Genomic DNA, 20,555 nt, shown 5'->3' on the forward strand with positions numbered 1-20,555 from the left:
TATTTTTAGAGTTTCATCAATATGGAGAGGCATCCAGCACACATCCCATCAGGTATGCTGTCATTCCAGAACATTCTCTGGTACTTCATTTTTCTGTCTTATCCGCCAACTAAATTTCCTTTGGTTAAATTTAATTATTTTGGTTTTTTCCCGTTGTCAAAACATGGAGCTGCATGACATTATCAAGTTAGCCAATTGTCACACTTTAGCAATCTTAATGTTTGTATGCTTGCTTTTTAGATCTAAAATTATATATCAGGAAAAAAATTATTGACCTACTGATTTAAGGATTAATATTTAGCTTTTCTAGAGTAGTTGAAAATGTTCTGAATGCTTTCTATGAAAATCATCTAATTATAAATAACTAAGATTTTATTACATGTTCCCAGATTTCGTTATTTTAAAATTATTTTGTATGCATCGATCACAATACTTTTACCACACTAATAATATAATATGTCTACTTGTGTTATTTGAATTTTGTTGGTTACAGAAGTATGATAAACAAATAGAAAAAGAACATTGTTATTTTGACTAATTGTGTACTTTCTTATTAAAGTTTACATGCTGATTAATGCTAAGGCAATTCTTTAGAAGATAACATTTGAATTTCTATAAATATATATAAAACAAGTCTGTTTTAAGAAAGCAGTTGGGCTGGGCGCAGTGGCTTATGCCTGTAATCCCCATACCTTGGGAGGCTGAGGTGGGCAGATGACTTGAGATCAGGAGTTCGAGACCAGCCTGGCCAACATGGTGAAACCTGGTCTCTACTAAAAATACAAAAATTAGCCAGGTGTGGTGGCACACGCCTGTAATTTCAGCTATTTGGGAGGCTGAGGCAGGAGAATCACTTGAACCTGGGAGGCGGAGGTTGCGGTGAGCAGAGATCACGCCACTGCACTCCAGCCTGGGTGAAAGAGTGAGACTCCATCTGAAAAAAAAAAAAAAAAAAAAAAAAAAAAGAAAGAAAGAAAGACAGCAATTGGTCTGAACCTTCCATCAAATACCAAAAATGCATAATTTAATTAGAATTTAAATTAAAGCAAATAAGCAAAATAGCCCAAATTTCGGAGATCATAACTAACAGTGTTAACTGACATACTTTTATTAATAATGCAAATGTAAAAGAAATGTGTATACACAAATGAATTTAAAATGGAAAATAGTTTCGAGACTTCTTCAGTATTTGTCTTACAATGAATTTAATGTTGATCATTTAAATTTAAGATGAGCATATAAATCAGAGCAAGATGATTAAAAAAGTATTTAAGGCTACCAAATATATTTCATATCTGACTTCAACATCAACTTTTATTGTTTAATTTTGGTTTCAGGGCCTTTTCACAGAGTTCTAATACATCTGAAATATATACCTTAAATCAACTACCTATATTATATTTCAGGATGTTAATTGGATCATAGCATTTACTTGCATTAAAAATTATGCAGTGTTGGTTGGAAAATCAAGTGAAAAGATTGAAGAAAAGTGGAAGAATGGTGGGATAGAATGATTATCAAACTCTTGTTGATTTAAAGTTAGATATTAAAGTAGAGAAGAAGTTTTATTATCTTTCTGATACCAAAATCTGTTAATATTCTAATAACTTGATTTCCATTTATGAGAGACAAGTTCATTATCTGAAGTACTAAATACATTGTCAGTTACAATTAAATCAGAGTGGTTTGACAAGGATTTTTTAAATTCAGTGGCAAGTGATACAACTATAGTATTTTTAATTGTGCTATGTGTTTTAGGTATTTGTGAAGTGTCATTTTGATTATAATCCATACAATGACAACCTAATACCTTGCAAAGAAGCAGGATTGAAGTTTTCCAAAGGAGAGATTCTTCAGATTGTAAATAGAGAAGATCCAAATTGGTGGCAGGTTAGTATGCTTCTCAGAAGTTCCTCAGCTACTTTTCTAATTTTAATCTTAGATCTGATCAATATCTGAATAGTCAGGAAGAATATTAGCATTTGTTACAATGATTTTTCCCACATGAACAGCTCCTGCTTCGTGGCTACTAATTTTGTGGACATAAGATCAAATTGGGAGGGAATTTGCAACTTAATAAGTGCAGAATTAACCAGCCTGTGGCACTAACCCATTGGTTTAGGGATTAGACCAATTGGTTTTTTTCACATGGGTAATTGCATTAAAATATGCTATTGGCCAAGAAGAACTCACTTGGGTCATCCCTTTTCAAAAGATAACTTGGGTTTTGTTTATTTTAAGTAGGAGACTTTTACTGTGAAATAAGTGTGTCTCTTGTCTCCTCTCCCTCATGTTCGTTCATAGCAAGTAAAGCATCATTTCTTAAGGTCTTAATGTCTATTTGCTCCCCTCTTCTCAGATATTGGGAAATGGAGGTTCACTCTATCAGTTTTGTTTGGTTTTGGATTAAAATCTGTGTATATGGAAAGAGATGTGTATTATCACTGTATTTTTCCCTCCTTTTTTCAGAAGATCTGTTTAATGGTATTCTTTTTTCTTCTCCTAATGCAGCTTTCAGAAACCCCTAGCAGCAGTAATAAGTCTGTTTTTGTAATGGTTTATGTTAGCTAACAACCACAATATTCAGAACTGGAAAAACTGACAGGTCAGGAAGTCTGAAATGCCTTAAACTATCAAAGCAAATGAGAGTTTTACTAAAGAACAAGGAGTAAGAGGAAAGGATCCAGGACTTAGCACCAAATTCTAAAATTAACTGAGATGTTGGTAACTCACATTAGCTCTAAATTATAGATCTACTTCTAAGGAGAAACAAATCACAGAATGAGAACAATCTTACTTATGTGTCCTTAAATTTAACTTAAAACATTATGTATAAGTGCACTATGTGTTGAGACAGCTAAGAAATGGGTAAATTAAACAGAATCCATGATTTCAAGAGGTTTCCCCTGAACTTTTTTTAGATCCCTCATTTAAAAAATCTCTCTGTGGCTGTTTCCTTTATTGAATTATTCCAGTTTTCCATTTTTTTTCTTTTTCCTATGAATACGATCTCTTAGTTTTCTCTTCTAACCTGTCACCATTCTCTCAGTTTCTCCCTGCATTTTGATAGTTGGTTACTTTAATTCTGTTTTTCAGGATTTTAAGTGCTTAAAGTTATACTAGATTTTCTATGCTAGTTGTAAGGATAGAAATACTAACTTTGTGAGATAAACCACTAACAGCCAGTTCTCCAGCCACTATTTTAAAATATTTCTCTTTGGAGCTTATTTTAAGTTAGCTGTTTTACATTAGGTGAAGTTTCGCCTAGTTTAAACTTACAAACTCTTGGGATATTCAGACTCCTGGTGGCATAAATTAAAATCTACACTTTATATTCCACATAGTATCTCCTTTTCATTTGGTTTGGCCTGAAATACCAACATAGTAGGATTAAGGTTGACAGTAAATATCTTACTAAAGGGTGCTAGATAAAATGTCCTGTTAATACATCTTATTTAGAATAGCATTTTCCTTTTCTAACTTAGTATCATAAATAAGAAGTTTTAGCAATTTAATTTGTATTTTGGTCCCCACATTTCACTACCAGATGACAGATATGAAGAATTTTAGGTGCCAATTGATTCTTCAGTGCTGAATTGTTTAAATATCTTAACTGACAATGCTATGGATTTAAATCTCAAGGTTGTTTTTAAGAGCAAATGTGACTTTTTTGACTGACCACTGCTTGTCTTACTTAATAGAATATGGTCTCAAATTTTGGTCACTGAGATGTACAATTCATTAATTTGATTCTAGGCTAGCCATGTAAAAGAGGGAGGAAGCGCTGGTCTCATTCCAAGCCAGTTCCTGGAAGAGAAGAGAAAGGCATTTGTTAGAAGAGACTGGGACAATTCAGGTGATGAGCTCGACACAATAAGTAACAAGCAGTCCTTTGTGACCACCTTTCTTTGTCTCTTTTGTCTAAATAAGCAAATGCATTTATTTAAAATATGTCTAGAATGAATCCCTCCCTCTGCTTTCTCTCGCTCATAAGTAATCTTTTTTGATCCCGTTCTGCCACCTGCTGGTAGAGTATCAAAATTCAGTGGCTTAACTCACCTCCACCCTCTTTTGCTTCCTAGGATGCCACATTGGGGAGATAATTCTCCCACCCCTGTAAAATACTATAGGGCAATTTTTTCATATTCTGATATACTGCTTAAGTTATATTTGTTTTATCATCCTTCAGGACCTTTTTGTGGAACTATAAGTAGCAAAAAAAAGAAAAAGATGATGTATCTCACAACCAGAAATGCAGGTAGGTTTTAAATACTTTTTGAGAAGTCCAAGTGAAGTAGCTATATGTCATTTAGTGTGGCATAAACTCTGAATATACAGCTTTAAGTGAGTGTAATTCAGATTAGTACCTAGTTGCAAGGGGCTGACATATGAACACATGGTGCAATATAATATAAATTATTTAAAACCCACATTATATATACTACCATGTGCTTTATTTTGTGAGTATAGTTTACAACACAAAACAAATTGGTTAAGATTTTTGTTTGTCTTAATCAAGAAGCAGTATCATAATTGAAACTATTTGTCCAGAGAATTTTGAAATAGTAATTTATGTGCCATTTCTAAAGGATAGAATGCCTTTGTCAAGATGTTAAAAGAGTTATGTTTAGGGCAACTGTATCCTGCCATAACACTGACCATGATAGTTTTAGAAAAATAGCACTGGACCAAATAAATCTTAGTCTGATCTAATAGAATTCTGTCTTAAATCTTTTAGTCATACAGAAAGAAATATATTTAAAAAGAAAGAAATGGTAACTATATGAGGTGATGGATATGTTTAATAGCTTGATCGAGGTAATCATTCACATTGTACACATTCATGAAAACATCAAGTTGTACACTTTATATACAATTCCTGTTTGTCAGTTGTACCTCAGTAAAGCTGAAAAGATTTTTAAAAACAATGTAAAATAAGACCCCAGACCTGGATTGGCTACTCATTGGCTATTAAAAATAAATAAATAGGAAAGAAGGGAAAGAATGGAAACTACTATATTTATTCTTCCCAGTTGCAGAGGATGACAGAAATAAAAAACAGCTCTATGAATCAGAAATTTCTGGAGGCTTAATCAAAGGAGTTGGCAATTTTAAAAGTACTTTCTTGACTTCAGAGCTACCTCTATGCTGGTAATAAACTAAATAGCACACCATAAAAGAAAATAATATAGAAGGAAGAAGTAGGCTTGCTTTCTCTTAATATTGGTTTAATCTACTGTGGGGAAATTGTGCAAAGAAAGAGTTACTATTAGGATAATAAGCTAAGGAAGGAGTGTTATTACTACAGATTGAGAGTTACAGTAATAACAGGTAATATAATATTTCAAATCATCACTTTGGCCCTATTATTCATAAAATATATGCCCATAAGGCTTTTTTGCAAAATAGAAAATTTGTAATTTTCCCATCGACTAAGATTATAATTTTGGGTTATGTTTCTAGTGAAACAGTTGGATCTAAAATTTATTTTATATGTAAATTTCAAAATCTTAATATTTAAATGTATGTTGTCAGTAAATGTCAGTATGTTGAATTCTAATCAAACTGATAATTGTTGATTTGCCATACAATATTTATTCATTTATATAATTGGAAGGTCACTTGTTCTGTGGAACTTACTTAAGCAACCACGCTAGGTTTACTCCTGTCCTCCGTATTTGCTACATGCTTTCTATATATACTGGTTTGTAATTTGATTATTTATATTAAAGGATTTTTACTGGCAAATTGATAATAAGTTTCAGTGGATAGAATCTCTGATAAGTAAGGATAAAACATAGAATTTTTCTAGCTTGATTAGATAAATTTTTTTTTTTTTTTTTTTTTTTTTTGAGACGGAGTCTTGCTCTGTCACCAGGCTGGAGTGCAGTGGCGCAATCTCGTCTTACTGCAGTCTCTGCTTCCTGGGTTCAAGTGATTCCCCTGCCTCAGCCCCCTGAGTAGCTGGGACTACAGGCGCACACCACCACGCCTAGCTAATTTTTTGTATTTTTTTAGTAGAGACGAGGTTTCACCATGTTGGCCAGGATGGTCTCAATCTCTTGACCTCGTGATTCGCCCACCTCGGCCTGCGAAAGTGCTGGGATTACAGGCATGAGCCACCATGCCCAGCCCGATTAGACAAATTTTTAAGGGCAAATGGATGGAACCAGATGTTTAAAGCAAGATATAAAATAATTTACTGGGGCAGGCACAGTGGCTCATGCCTATAATCCCAGCACTTTGGGAGACTGAGGCAGCAGGATCATTTGAGGCCAGCAGTTTGAGACCAGCCTGGGCAACATAGCAAGATCCCATCTCTACAAAAAAAAAAATTAAAAATTAGCTGGGTATAATGGCTCATACCTGTGGTTTCATTTACTCGGGAGGCTTCATTGAGCCCAGGAGTTCAAGGGTACAGTGAGCTAAGATTGCACCACTATACTCTACCCTGGGTGACAGTGAGCCCCGGTCTTAAAAACAATAATAAAATAATTATTATTTATTGTACTTTACCAAATTTGTAAAAACAAATCTATGCTAAGTGGGTACAAGTCAAGTGATATTTAACTATCAAGACAGCTAAGCCATTACTAGACAGAATTGCAGAGATTTCTTTCATGTATATAAAAGTTGACTTTGTATTCCCATTTCCTTTTTCATTTAGAATTTGATCGTCATGAAATCCAGATATATGAGGAGGTAGCCAAAATGCCTCCCTTCCAGAGAAAAACATTAGTATTGATAGGAGCTCAAGGTGTAGGCCGAAGAAGCTTGAAAAACAGGTTCATAGTATTGAATCCCACTAGATTTGGAACTACGGTGCCATGTAAGTTTTCTGTGTTTTCCTTGCTATGCAATTGGCAGGAAAGAGTATGGGCATATGGAGGAAAGGGGGATTATTATCATTAGTTATTGTTATTCCCAAATAAGTTTTCTTTATGGCAGTGAAAGTGAACAAGTAAAAGACATTGAAAAATTTAGTAATTCTGTAGCTGTCTTGAAATAGTGCTGCAGTGCTGTTGGCTTGCTGTCTGGTGGCAAGTGCTTCTCTAAACTATTCAGTTCAGAAATGTTAGAATTAAATGCCTACATTTAAGACTCGTGGCAAGATAGGCATTTAGGATTTTCTTGTACTGATGTCTATCTAAAAAGTTGGATTTTTCAGCCATTTTAGTGTAAAGAAAAGGGGAAAGCTTCTGACCCTTGGACATACCCAGTGTGGCAACAGCTGTGTGAACTTACGTGGCCTGGCTTGTAGCTCTCAGTCATGCAAGGTCATAAACCTGATTTTTGATAGCACATAAGAGTGATTCATCTTTTACTGCAGGCAGCATTCATTAAGGTTACAGAGTCTGATGTATAGAATAAAATAGTACTGATGAGAAGTATAACCATTAAGTGAACCAAGCACTCATTTTATGGTCTTTGCATTCATTTCTCTATTTGCATATTTACATAGAAAGTTAAATAATCATGTCAGAAGTATGCTTGATGAGAATGGAATTAGATCAAGGAATTGGATGATGTTAGTGATTTACTGTAATGACTAATACACATTTGTCTCTGACTGTAGGGACTAATAAACATTTGTCTTTGTTTTTGAAATACGTGGATCTTTACTTGTGAACTTAGATGTTCTCTCCCTTGAAGAAAGCAGGAGATAAGCTAACATTGCTTTCATTCCCATTGCTGTGCTTCTATTTCTGACCAAGCCCCCTTTTAACATGGCATTCCTTTAGGTATATTAATGCCTTTAAGCTATTTTGAGTCAAATCCTAGGCTAACTTTAACCCTATCTCTTTTAATTGAATTTTAGAGTTTCCCTGGTTTTGTCCAGTATATTTTGGGTTTAATTCTCAGTGAGTACTCTTATTGCTAAAATTCTTAAAAGTTAGGGAAATAGCCTTGTCATTGCCCCCCTGTGCTACTTATAATCCCTTCAGTGTAAATCTTCTGATTCTACTGCAGGCATTGTAAATCACTAAATTTAGACAAATCCTACTAAAGTGGTTAACAGAACAAAAACTTCACTGTAATCAACGTATGTTAAAGCTGCACTTGTGAAGTAAAAAGTTTTTCGCTTTTATCAAATTCATATGTGCCCAATATTTTTAGCAAGTAGTTCTTAAAGACATATAATGGGGAAAAAAATAACCCCTTCTCTTCCCCTGCCTCACTTATGAAAAACAGTCACTTTTCATTGTTTTTGCTATTTCTTTTGGTTGTGTTCCATATTTCTTAATAATGTCTTTAGTCTGCTGTTTCCTGCTTTATGCAGTTTAGGCCTTATCTGTTGACTTCCTGACTGTCCTTCCAATATAAAGATAGCTGTATTTTCAGTTAGTTCAATTTCACTTTCTTGAACAGCCCTTTCCCCTTCTGTGACCCAGGAATCTCTGGAGTTCTGTTTTTCTTTATACTACCTGATTTTATATATATATGTGTATACAGTTTTTTGTTGTTTTTTAAACTAAAGACTTGTTTATCCAGTAAGTCAGGTTCTTTTTTTTTTTCCTGGAGACCTCTGTCTCAGAACCCTCTGTCTTTCTGCTTCAATGAGGACTACATGCTGTCTCTCTGGCTGCCCAGCTGTTAACACTGGAGTAGTTCCCTTTGTTGTTATCCTGGGTTGAAGCTGTTGTTCCTGGATCCCATTCTTTCTCTTTCTTGGTTTATCACCTTGTTTTGCTGGGGTACATCCTCTTGTATGTGGAATGTAATGTCTGCATCTTTGTGTTTTAAAATGTATATTTTCTGCCCTTTATTTGACTAATTAGCAGAGAATAGAATTCTGGATTGTAAAATTCAAAAGCTGTTACAACGTCTTCATCATCGCCAAAAGAATCTCTGTACCCATTTCCCACCAACTTCCTCACCCCCTGCTGCCAGGAGCAATCATGAATCTTTCTGTCAAAATAGATTTGCTTATTTTGGACATTTTATATACTGGAGTTATACAATATGTGGTGTTTTGTGACTGGCTTCTTAACATGTCAGATCTCATCTGCATTGTAGCATTTATCAGTACTTATTTTCTTTTCCTTGCTAAGTGATTATTATATGGCTATACCACATTTTATTTATATATTCATCAGTTGATGGACATTTGGACTGTTTTATTTTTAGCTATTGTGAATAATGCTACACTCAGCATTTGTATACAGGTATTTGTGTGGACATATGCCTGTTTCTCTTGGGTATATACCTTGGAATGGAATTTGTAGGTTATATGATGACTGTATGTTTAGCCTTTAGAAGAACTTCCACACTGTTTTCCACAGCAGCTGTGTATATACCCTTCACAATCCCAGCAGCATATGAAGTTTCCAGTTTCTCTACATCCTCACCAACATTTGTCATCTGGCTTTTTGATTGTAGTCATCCTAGTGGGTGTAAAGTTGTATCTCATTTTGGTTCTCATTTGCATTTCCCTAATGTCTGATCATGTCAAACAACTTTTCATGTACATATTTGCCATTTATATATTTTCTTTGGAGGAATGTCTGTTCAAACTGGTTGCCCATTTTTCAGTTAGGTTATTTGTCCTTTTCTTAAGCTGTAAGAGGAGGTCATATTATATTCTGGGTACAGGTTCCTTGTTAGATATGATTTGCACGTATTAATATTTTCTCTCATTCTTTGTTGACTTCTCGTGTTTTTGATGGTGTCCTTTGATATACAAAAGTTTTTCATTTTGATGAAGTCCAAATTTATATGTCTTTTGTTGCTCATGCTTTTCATATCGTATCAAGTATGGTACCATATCAAGGCTTTCCCTAACCCAAGGCCACAAAATTTTACTCCTGTATTTTATTTTAAGAGTTTATACTACTGACTCTTACATGCAGATTATATGATCAATTTTGTGTTCATTTTTGTGTCAAATGTGAGGAGGGGGTTCCAACTTTATTCTTTTGCTTGCACTTATCCAGTTGTCACAACACAATTTGTCAAAAAGAATAGTTCTTTCCTCCAGTGGATTGTCTTGCCACCCTTTTTGAAAATCAATTGATTGTAAATGTCAAGATTTATTTATAAACCCTCAGTTCTGTTCCATTAACCTAGATGTCTGTCCTTATGCCAGTCCCACATTGTCTCGATTACTGTATATTTGTATTAAGTTTCAAAACCAGGAATTGTGAACCCAACTTGTTCTTTCTTTTTCAGCTTGTTTTGGCTCTTCTGGGTTCCTGACATTTCTATATAAATTATAAGATAAGCTTCCAGTTTCTGCAGAAAAGGTAGCTAGAATTTTAAGAGGGATTATATTGAATTCTAGCTACCTTTTCTGCAGCAATTGGAAGCTTATCTTATAATTTATATAGAAATGCCAGTAACTTGGCCTTGAGGACTACTGCCATCTGTTTTGTTTTGTTTTGTTTTGTTTTGTTTTGTTTTGTTTTGTTTTGTTGAGATGGAGTCTTGCTCTGTTGCCCAGGCTGGAGTGCAATGGCATGATCTCGGCTCACTGCAGCCTCCACCTCCTGGATTCAAGCCATTCTCCTGCCTCAGCCTCCCCAGTAGCTGGGATTACAGGCACCCACCATCCTGCCTGGCTAATTTTTTTTGTATTTTTAGTAGAGACTTGCTTTCACCATGTTGGCCAGGCTGGTTTCGAACTCCTGACCTCAGGTGATCTGCCTGCCTTAGCCTCCCAAAGTGCTGGGATTACAGGTGCTATATTAACAGTATTAATTCTTCCAGTCTATGAGCATAGATGTCTCTCTGTTTATTTAGGTTTTCATTTTAATGCTGTTTATGGTTTTCATTGTACAAATATTATGCTGCTTTTGTCACATTTATTCCTGAGTATTTTTTTCTTTTTTATTCTGTAGCAAAAAGTATTTTCTTAATTTCCTTTTTGGATTGTTCCTTGCTAGTGTACAGAAATAAACTGATTTTTGTGTGTTGGCTTTGTCTTTTAGCCTTATTGACCTCATTGATTCTAATGATGATTTTTTTGTGTGGGTTCCTCAGGATTTTCTATATACAAAATCATGTCATCTGCAAATAGAGATCGTTTTACTTGTTTCTTTCCAATCTGGGTGCTGTTTATGTCGTTGTCTTGTCTACTTTCCTCAACTAGAACCTGCAGTGTAATGTGTAATAGTGTAATAGAAGTGGCAAAAGTGAACATCCTTGTCTTGTTCATGATCTTAAGGAGAAAGGAGAAAGCATTCAATCTTTCCATTTTAGCTGTGGGTTTTTCATAGATGCCTTTCATCAGATTGGAGAAGTTCCCTTCTGTTCCTGCTTTGTTGGCTTTTTACCAAGAAAGGGTACTAGATCTTGCCAAATGCTTTTTCTTTGTTAATGGTTCATATGATTTTTGTTTTTTATTGTCTTCTATTGATAGGATGTATTGCATTCATTGATTTTTATATATTGAACCAACCTTGTCTTTTTGTGGTAAATTCCATTTGGTTATGATGTGCCGTCTTTTTTTGTATACTTCTAGATTCAGTTGCTTGTAATTTGTAAGGATTTTTGCATCTATATTTATAAGGGATATTGGTCTATACATCTCATTACTTGTGATGTCATTGTCTAGCTTTGATATGGTAATTCAGGGCACATAGAATGAGTTGTGAAGTATTCTTTCCTCTTTCATTGTTTGGGAAGAGTATGTGAAGGATTAATTATAATTCTTTCAATGTTTGATGAAATTCACCCATGAAGCCATTTGACCCTGGGCTTTTCTTTGTGGGAAGTTTTGATTATTAGTTCAGTCTCTTTCCTTGTTATAGGTCAACTTGGATTTTTTTTAAAATCAGTTTCAGGATTTCTGCAGGGTTCATAGTAATGTTTTTTCTTTCATTTCTGATTTTAGAAATTTCGGTCTTCCCTCTTTTATTCTTAGTCTATGTAAAGATTTGTCAATTTGTTGATCTTTTCGGACAACCAAATTTTGCCTTTGCTGATTTTCTGTATTTTTTCTACTTTCTAATTTTTGCTATAATCTTTATTATTTTCTTTCTACTTGTACTTTGGGTTTATTTTACTCTCTGTTTTTTTAGATAGGAAATTAGATTATTGATTTGAGATCTTTTTTAACATAGGCATTCACAGCTATAAATTTCCCTCTAAGCACTTAGTTGCATCTTAAAGTTCTTGGTATGCTGTGTTTTTGTTTTCATTCATCTCAAAATACTTTTGAGTGGGTTTTTTATATATATATATAAATAGGTTCAATGATACATGTCTCTGTAGATGGCTACAGAGACTTTAAAATTGTAATCCCGAATATGCAACTATGCAACACAGACCAGTTAGCCAGATCTAAAATAATAAACTGGCTTCTTACAACAACTGTGCTGTTCCAACCCTTCTTCCCTCCACAATGACCTTAAACCTTACATGAGTACAGTTAATATGGCAGAACGGGAACCCATCTTTGTGACCAAAAGTAAAAACCGAAGAAGAAATAGCAATTCATCCATTAGTTGGGGAAAGCAAGAAATGTAGTGCCCTTCACTGTGCTGCTTACTCTTACTCATTTTGTCCCTATTCTTCAGCCCATCCATGTTAGCTCTTAATATGTTTGAATTAGCCATATGATTCAGCTCTTCAGTGCTCACCACAGTGCTGATCTTTTTCCCATCAGTAGCTTTTAAGACAATTATCAAGGGCTTAAAGCCCTCCACAGAACCTTTTCTTAGAATGAATGGGTTTAGTTCAACCATCATACATCTTCAGGGTAATGAACATGCTGCTGGACAACTGGCACTCTGGAAGAGCCTGGTCAGCTCTGTCTGTAACTGTGCTCTTCAACAGCACCATCTCCTCTCAAAGTATTTTCTTTCACTTGTGATTGCTTGTTTGATCCATTGGTTATTTGGGAGTATATTGCTTATTTTCCATATATTTTTGAATTTCTAAAATTTTCTGTTATAAAATTAAGGTGATTTAACTTTCTTTATATATTACAAAATGATCCTAAGATAAAATAGAAAAACATTGTTATTTTAGGGAGATGGGCTATGTTATGCATCCTGTTTTCAATTTAACATTGACATCTTGACATCTTGAGCTTAGTTAACAAATGAAGTATTACTTTGTTGATTGTGTCTTCATTATTTGAAGAGCAGCTAAAATTGAGAATTTTGCCTATCATAAAAAATTACTTCTAAAAAATCACATTATGTAGTTGCGCAGTATAGAAGTCTAAGGAATCAGTTGTAGTCAAACCTTCATGTTCTAATTTCTCTGTTCTAGAAATGGAAAGCAGTTTAAATATGTGGCAACGTAGATTGTTTTTTGAAGTGTTAGTAGAGAATAGGATTGTAGTTAAAATTCACTTGTAAACTAAAGAACATTTCTCTAAGAATTAAGATTCCCTCAGCATGGAGGTAGAGGTAATACATGTGCATATACATATTTATTTCAAGCAGCGCATTCCCCTATATGGTTTCACTGTAGGACTTCACCGAAAAAACATTAATTTTTAAAATTAATGTTCACAATGTTGAACCAAGTCCTATTATGCATTTATTTGGGGAGTTACAAGTTGCCTTAGAAGTTTTTTTATTTTTTTATTTTTTTAAGGTTTTTTTTTTTCCCCTCTTATTATTATACTTTTAAGTTTTAGGGTACATGTGCACAATGTGCAGGTTAGTTACATATGTATACATGTGCCATGGTGGTGTGCTGCACCCATTAACTCGTCATCTAGCATTAGGTATATCTCCCAGTGCTATCCCTCCCCCCTCCCCCCACCCCACAACAGTCCCCAGAGTGTGATGTTCCCCTTCCTGTGTCCATGTGTTCTCATTGTTCAGTTCCCACCTATGAGTGAGAATATGCGGTGTTTGGTTTTTTGTTCTTGCGATAGTTTACTGAGAATGATGATTTCCAATTTCATCCATGTCCCTACAAAGGACATGAACTCATCATTTTTTATGGCTGCATAGTATTCCATGGTGTATATGTGCCACATTTTCTTAATCCAGTCTATCATTGTTGGACATTTGGATTGGTTCCAAGTCTTTGCTATTATGAATAATGCCGCAATAAACATACGTGTGCATGTGTCTTTATAGTAGCATGATTTATAGTCCTTTGGGTATATACCCAGTAATGGGATGGCTGGGTCAAATGGTATTTCTAGTTCTAGATCCTTGAGGAATCGCCACACTGACTTCCAGAATGGTTGAACTAGTTTACAGTCCCACCAACAGTGTAAAAGTGTTCCTATTTCTCCACATCCTCTCCAGCACCTGTTGTTTCCTGACTTTTTAATGATTGCCATTCTAACTGGTGTGAGATGGTATCTCATTGTGGTTTTGATTTGCATTTCTCTGATGGCCAGTGATGGTGAGCATTTTTTCATGTGTTTTTTGGCTGCATAAGTGTCTGTCCATGTCCTTCGCCCACTTTTTGATGGGGTTGTTTGTTTTTTTCTTGTAAATTTGTTTGAGTTCATTGTAGATTCTGGATATTAGCCCTTTGTCAGATGAGTAGGTTGGGAAAATTTTCTCCCATTTTGTAGGTTGCCTGTTCACTCTGATGGTAGTTTCTTTTCCTGTGCAGAAGCTCTTTAGTTTAATTAGATCCCATTTGTCAATTTTGTCTTTTGTTGCCATTGCTTTTGGTGTTTTAGACATGAAGTGCTTGCCCATGCCTGTGTCCTGAATGGTAACGCCTAGGTTTTCTTCTAGGGTTTTTATGGTTTTAGGTCTAACGTTTAAGTCTTTAATCCATCTTGAATTGATTTTTGTATAAGGTGTAAGGAAGGGATCCAGTTTCAGCTTTCTATGTATGGCTAGCCAGTGGTCCCAGCACCATTTATTAAATAGGGAATCCTTTCCCCATTGCTTGTTTTTCTCAGGTTTGTCAAAGATCAGATAGTTGTAGATACGCGGCGTTATTTCTGAGGGCTCTGTTCTGTTCCATTGATCTGTATCTCTGTTTTGGTACCAGTCCCATGCTGTTTTGGTTACTGTAGCCTTGTAGTATAGTTTGAAGTCAGGTAGTGTGATGCCTCCAGCTTTGTTCTTTTGGCTTAGGATTGACTTGGTGATGCAGGCTCTCTTTTGGTTCCATATGAACTTTAAAGTAGTTTTTTCGAATTCTGTGAAGAAAGGCATTGGTAGCTTGATGGGGATGGCATTGAGTCTGTAAATTACCTTGGGCAGTATGGCCATTTTCACGATATTGATTCTTCCTACCCATGAGCATGGAATGTTCTTGCATTTGTTTGTATCCTCTTTTATTTCGTTGAGCAGTGGTTTGTAGTTCTCCTTGAAGAGGTCCTTCACATCCCTTGTAAGTTGGATTCCTAGGTATTTTATTCCTTTGAAGCAATTGTGAATGGGAGTTCACTCATGATTTGGCTCTCTGTCTGTTGTTGGTGTATAAGAATGCTTGTGATTTTTATGCATTGATTTTGTATCCTGAGACTTTGCTGAAGTTGCTTATCAGCTTAAGGAGATTTTGGGCTGAGACAATGGGGTTTTCTAGATATACAATCACGTCATCTGCAAACAGGGACAATTTGACTTCCTCTTTTCCTAATTGAATACCCTTTATTTCCTTCTCTTGCCTAATTGCCCTGGCCAGAACTTCCAACACTATGTTGAATAGGAGTGGTGAGAGAGGGCATCCCTGTCTTGTGCCAGTTTTCAAAGGGAATGCTTCCAGTTTTTGCCCATTCAGTATGATATTGGCTGTGGGTTTGTCATAGATAGCTCTTATTATTTTGAGATACGTCCCATCAATACCTAATTTATTGAGAGTTTTTAGCATGAAGGGCTGTTGAATTTTGTCAAAGGCCTTTTCTGCATCTATTGAGATAATCATGTGGTTTTTGTCTTTGGTTCTGTTTATATGCTGGATTACATTTATTGAGAAGTTTTATTATACACACCTTTGGTGACTAATTCCAGAAACCTTAAAGATCACACAGTTTTAAATATGAAAAGCCATCATAGCATCTTGAAGATTCTCAAAGATACTTTATAAATACTCTTCACAGTAGTCTAAGACGACCACTCTCAAGGTTGAGCCAGAAAACAAGGGGAAAACAGGAGTCCTATTATACATAATGATCTCATTTGACCCTTATTTTTGAGCATGAGTTTGAAGTTCATTTTGTTCTTATAAAAGTTTTCTATGTCTTAGGCTTATTAGAAATAGTCAAAACACTGTCATCTTTTTATTCGGATTACTTTCTTAGTTTAGTTTGGTGTAGTTAATAATTCCATCAGTTATTCTCCAACTACTTAGCTAATAGAAACAGGATACTTCTTATATCCGATCCAGCAAAGCCCAGAGTAAGGCTAAGCTTGAAATAACACGCTCAAAAATTACTTTTCTTCTTCAAAGCTGTTGTTAACAAAGTTGTCAGAGAGTACACATTTGCAACAGTTTAAAAAATGGTAATAACCGTTCCTAGCACAGACCAACTTGCAAAGGGTTGTATGTCTCTGAAAGTATTCAAAGCTGTAAAATATCAGACAAAAGGATCTCCTACTTCTAAATTTTGACTTGAGCTATTCAATCTCATTTTCCCAGAAATAATATGTCAGGTCAGAGGAGAGGAGGTTAATAGACCATAATAATAATGAGGCGTCTAGCTCTACCACTGAAGTATAAAATAGAACAGTTAACATTTGGGAATATCAATAAACAGGAAGCTAAAAGCGTTGGTTTTGAGGTAAGATAAAAGATAGATAATTTGTGGGTAAAACTGCACTTTACAAAATTGGTATCACAACTAAGAACAGGTGAACTTTGCTTGCTCACGTTTTGGGGCAGTTAGGAAGTGTTAATGTGGAAAGAAAAGATGTAATAGATTCCTAAGGAGAAGGAGAGTGCTGGTCAGTTGAAAAGATACTCACTCACAACATGCCTCAAACACTTACCATAATTAAGAACTTCATTGAAGGCTCTGCTGCTAGGTAAATATACTTTGAGTTTCAAAGTGATTTTAAGAAGCATATTTTTGGATACAAATTTTATTTGGGGGACTACCTCTTAAAATATTCCCCTAAGGTATCAAGAAACTTTTCTATTAAAGGGCCACATGGTAAAGTTTTAGGCTTCGCAGTCCATACAGTCTGTCACAATTACTACCACCATTTTAATGGGAAAGAAACCATGTATGATACATAAACAAATGAGTATGGCTGTGGTCCAATAAAACTTTATTTACAAAAATAAGAAGCAGATCAGATCTGGTCATAGCCTACAGTTTGCTGCACCCAGTGGAAAAACGTTAAGCCACCCTATGTATTTTAGTCTATTTTTTATGCCCTAAAATTTCTTTGTACAAAAATCTCAACACTATTTTATTTAGTTACTTCACGGAAACCAAGGGAAGATGAAAAAGATGGCCAGGCATATAAGTTTGTGTCACGATCTGAGATGGAAGCAGATATTAAAGCTGGAAAGTATTTGGAACATGGGGAATATGAAGGAAATCTCTATGGAACCAAAATTGATTCTATTCTTGAGGTTGTCCAAACTGGACGGACTTGCATTCTGGATGTCAACCCACAAGTAAGCTGCTTGGATTCCAAAGCTGTTTTATATTTTATTTTCTGTGGAGTTTTTTTCATGTGTGTCGGGGTTGTTGGGTTGGGGTTGTTTGTTTTGTCAGGGTGGAAAGGTGACTCCCTCCATTACCTTTGGGTGATAGAGAATGTTATTATGTATACATAGCTAGTTAAATAAATCTCTGAACAATTAGCCAACAGAGGCTTGGGTGGCAATAGAAACTGTGTGATTAGATCTACAATAGAAGTTTAGTATGTATTTATTTACCTGTTCAAGTAATGCATAAGTGCTTGTGTTAAGAAATGTTAAGTTTAAAACTCAAGTCTGCAATATAAAGAATAAAAAATTAAAGTCACTCCCCCTCCTACCTGACACACATGCACACCTCTACACTATTCATTTTGTCACTCTATATTTCTGTCACCTACCCCTTCCCACTCCGCTACACTCAGCCCAACCTCACGTCCCTACTCAGAGATAAAAATTGTTAATAGTTTCTTATGTCTCTTTCTAGTCATTTCACTATGCCTTAAATACAAATATATATAAGGTAATGGGTTTTCTGTTTTTGTTGTTTCTTTTTACATAAATGGAAAAATTCTATATAGATTCTTCAGGGGTTTTATTAAATAGAACTATTCCTTGGAGATCTTTTTGTGGTAGTTACTGTAGAGCTTTTTTTCTTTGTAATTGCTATATAGTATGAATATATATTCATTTAACCACTCTCCAATTAATCAACATTGAGGTTATTTCTACTTTTTGAGTATTAACAGAATTCTACAATTAACATAAAAAAGAGTTTACATCACTCTTGATGATTTTTGGATCATTGTTTTATACTTTGTTCAAGAGGAACAGACTGAGTTCAAAACAAAATAAATGGATCACTGTTTTAAGAAAGTACTATATGGAATGAGAAGGACAGAACAGGGATAAGTATTAAGTTATGTCCTTTAATTCATAGAACAAGTGCAAACAGCCTTTGATATATACTAAAGGGTAGCAGAATTCTAGTTCTAATATTGTATAAATTGGCTTATAATTATTCTTTTACACAGGCACTGAAAGTATTGAGGACATCAGAGTTTATGCCCTATGTGGTATTTATTGCGGCTCCGGAGCTAGAGACGTTACGTGCCATGCACAAGGCTGTGGTGGATGCAGGAATCACTACCAAGCTTCTGACCGTGAGCTAACCATACGATTTTCCTTCTAAAATCTTTCCTTTTCTTTTGAGCATGTTTAACTGTTATCTAATTTATTTTTATTTATTTATTTTTGAGGCAGAGTTTTGCTTTGTCACCCAGGCTGGAGTGCATTGATGCGATCTCAGCTCGTTGCAACCTCCCCGTCCCGGGTTCAAGCGATTCTCCTGCCTCAGCCTCCCAAGTAGCTGGGATTACAGGCATGCGCTACCAGGCCTGGCTAATTTTTGTATTTTTAGTAGAGACGGGGTTTCACCATGTTGGCCAGACTGGTCTTGAACTCCTGACCTCAGGCAATCTGCCCACCTCGGCCTCCCAAAGTGCTAGAACTACAGGCGTGAGCCACCGTGCCTGGCCAACTCTTAGCTAATTATGCTTATGAAATAAACATGCTATATAAGGTGCTACAGAATGAAAATTAATTAGATGTAGTTAGGATCTGGAACAGTATTCTTTTACTTGAAAATCATTGTACACTTTATTTTAAATCAAAAGTTTAGTTCCCCTTTGTAAAATGAAATGGACCAATATTAAAATATGCGTATTAATTGAACGCCTTCATTTTACTAGTGGGGTAACTGGGCTCCGAGATCATTAACAGGCATGTTTATTATATGGTTTATCATTGGTAAAGTGGGGTGTTCTGATGTTTAGTTTCTATTACATGTTTTTTCCTTTTTTTCCTGTCTACTTTTTTACTTAATGGAAATTCAAAAATATATACAAAAGAGGGAATAAATGAGTCCCTATGCCGATCGCCTAGCTTCAATAATCGTGGCAATTTCTTGTTTTAATTAGACCCCTCCCCACTTCCTCCTCACCTTGAATTATTTTGAAGCAAATCTTTGATATCATGTCATCTGTAAATACTTCAGTATTTATATCTAAGAGATAAAGACATTTAAAACATACCATTAATACAACAAAAATTAATAAGCAGTATCTTACTATCATCTACATGCAGTCTATATTTGAGTTTCTCCAAGATTTTTTTTTTTTTTTTTTTACTGTTGATTTGTTCAAATAAGGATTCAAACAAGATCAACACATTGAATTTACTCATTGTCACCTAAATCTTTTGCCAGCTTAATTGAGGTATAATTGACACATAATAAGCTGTGCCTACCTAACATGTACAGCTTGATCAGTTTGGCCACATATTTGTACTCATGAAAGCCATTACAACCAAAATAATGAACATGTCCATCATCTCCACACATTCGCCTGTGCTCCTTTGTAACCTGCTCCCCACACCCTTCCCCCTACCACTGTCACCTTTTCCCCTCACTGTACTTGATTATATGCCATGAAATCAGGTAGTATTAGTTTTCTTTGTTCTTTTTCAAGTTGATCCATGTCTCTACTTTCTGAACGTATGAAACATAGTGTTTAATGTCTTTGCAGGTTCTAACATTTGAGTCAGTTCTGGATTGGTTTTGATTGAATGATTTTTCTCTTTATTATGAGTATATCTTCCTGCTTCTTTGCAATCCTGGGAACTTTCTTTGGATGCCAGACATTGTGAGCTTTGTTCTAGGATGCAGTTATTTGGAAATAGTTTGTTTTTTTCAGGTCTCACTTTTTAAATGTGTTAGGTAAGACCCAAGCAGTTCTCATTTTAGGGCCAGTTAATCCCCACAAATAAGGCAAGACCCATTTGGTACTCCTACCACAGGGCTTGTGAGTCATGAGATTTTCTGTTCTGGCTAAGGGGGAATAGGTACCATTCCTGGGTACCTCTAATCCTTTCTGGTGGTTCTTTCTCAGCTTCAGGTCGTTGTACCAATGTGCAGGTTGGTACTTCAGCCGAATGCTGGAAGGAGACCTTCTACAAGTCTCCAAAGTCTG

General features: G+C 35.3%; 1 protein-coding gene across 9 annotated transcripts in view; it reads left to right on the forward strand.

Moving 5' to 3' along the window:
* PALS2 (protein associated with LIN7 2, MAGUK p55 family member) overlaps nucleotides 1–20,555 on the forward strand; it is a 120,742-nt gene that overhangs the window by 88,380 nt on the left and 11,807 nt on the right. For all 9 annotated transcript variants that reach the window (NM_016447.4, XM_011515425.3, NM_001303037.2 and 6 more), the window contains 6 exons: nucleotides 1,759–1,890; nucleotides 3,757–3,856; nucleotides 4,190–4,258; nucleotides 6,668–6,829; nucleotides 17,300–17,502; nucleotides 18,561–18,689. In NM_016447.4, the coding sequence (NP_057531.2) occupies nucleotides 1,759–1,890; nucleotides 3,757–3,856; nucleotides 4,190–4,258; nucleotides 6,668–6,829; nucleotides 17,300–17,502; nucleotides 18,561–18,689 (795 nt within the window). The remainder of the gene's footprint in view (nucleotides 1–1,758; nucleotides 1,891–3,756; nucleotides 3,857–4,189; nucleotides 4,259–6,667; nucleotides 6,830–17,299; nucleotides 17,503–18,560; nucleotides 18,690–20,555) is intronic.

This window comes from Homo sapiens, chromosome 7 (genome assembly GCF_000001405.40).
Source record: "Homo sapiens chromosome 7, GRCh38.p14 Primary Assembly".
Classification (NCBI taxonomy): Eukaryota; Metazoa; Chordata; class Mammalia; order Primates; family Hominidae; genus Homo; species Homo sapiens.